Consider the following 1,256-nt stretch of genomic DNA (forward strand, 5'->3'; position numbering starts at 1 on the left):
GTCATCCGCAGTTAGTAAGTTATTTGTGACTCCTGTCTAAGGCTTCTCGGTAGAATGCTCTGTTAGTCACTATCTTCTCACACATGTCAGACAGCTGAGACCCAAAGGCAGGGATAAAAAGAGGCAAGATGAGACTGGGCGCGGTGGCTCACACCTGTAATCCCAGCACTTTGGGAGGCCAAGGTGGGCGGATCACCTGAGGTCAGGAGTTCAAGACCAGCCTGGCCAACATGGTGAAACCCCGTCTCTACTGAAAATACAAAAAAAATTAGTTGGGCATGGTGGCAGGCGCCTATAATCTCAACTACTCGGGAGGCTGAGGCAGGAGAATCGCTTGTACCTGCGAGGCAAAGTTCGCAGTGAGCTGAGAGCGCGCCATCGCACTCCAGCCTGGGCAGAAGAGTGAAACTCTGTCTCAAAAACAACAACAATAACAACAACAAAAAGGCAAGATGATGGACAGTGGTGATGAACACTGTGGGGGAAGGGACTAGCTACTCACATGGTGGTTTCTCTCCCACTCCAATCTCTCATGTCGGGTAGTACAGACACAGGGCTACCCTCAGTTTGTAAAGCCCGCAGGGTGGACTAGAGCCTCAGGGTGAAGGCTGGGTCAGCATTTGAATCCAGATTATATGAGAGTCAACACATCCTACTACCGATCTGCTATGCAAATAATGAAGCTTAACCTTCAGGTACCCTTTCTTTCACAAGCTCCCTTCAAGGCTCTGGACAGGGCCTTAGCAATGCAGTCATTCTAAAACTTGCAAAAGTAAGATTTTAATGACAATGGTTAAAAGCCCTGTTTCTTTTCACTCAGCTGTCCTTTCTAGTACCTTCCCCTTATTGGGCATTTTGGGATCTGGCTAAAAGGGGGTTGGGATGCAATTATTTTGGGTTATATTTATGTGATTTACAGTCACTTTCATGGGGCTAGAAATAGTTTTCAAGAATACCCCTGTTGCCCACTGTAGTGACTCATCTAGCATTATGACCCAATGTTGTAGGGCCAGAGGTCACATTTTGTTTTAAACCTGCCCTACAGCATCTGGCACTGGAAGAATGTAAATCATTGAGGGGTGACAAGGTTTGAAACATATGGCATCAGAGGCTAGTCTGTGGAAAATTCTTCACACGTCTAAAATTTTTTTTTTTTTTGAGATGGAGTCTCGCTCTGTCGCCCAGGCTGCAGTGCAGTGGCGCAACTTGGGCTTACCGCAACCTCTGCCTCCTGGGTTCAAGCAACCTCTGCCTCC

General features: G+C 47.4%; 1 annotated feature.

The window, feature by feature from the left end:
* Positions 610-779: an enhancer, noted in NCBI's record as "active region_2356". NCBI's record gives its function as "activates an Ori minimal core promoter by ATAC-STARR-seq in GM12878 lymphoblastoid cells {active_cell/tissue: GM12878}" and the evidence as "EXISTENCE:reporter gene assay evidence [ECO:0000049][PMID:35858748]".

This window comes from Homo sapiens, chromosome 1 (genome assembly GCF_000001405.40).
Source record: "Homo sapiens chromosome 1, GRCh38.p14 Primary Assembly".
NCBI classification, from domain to species: Eukaryota; Metazoa; Chordata; class Mammalia; order Primates; family Hominidae; genus Homo; species Homo sapiens.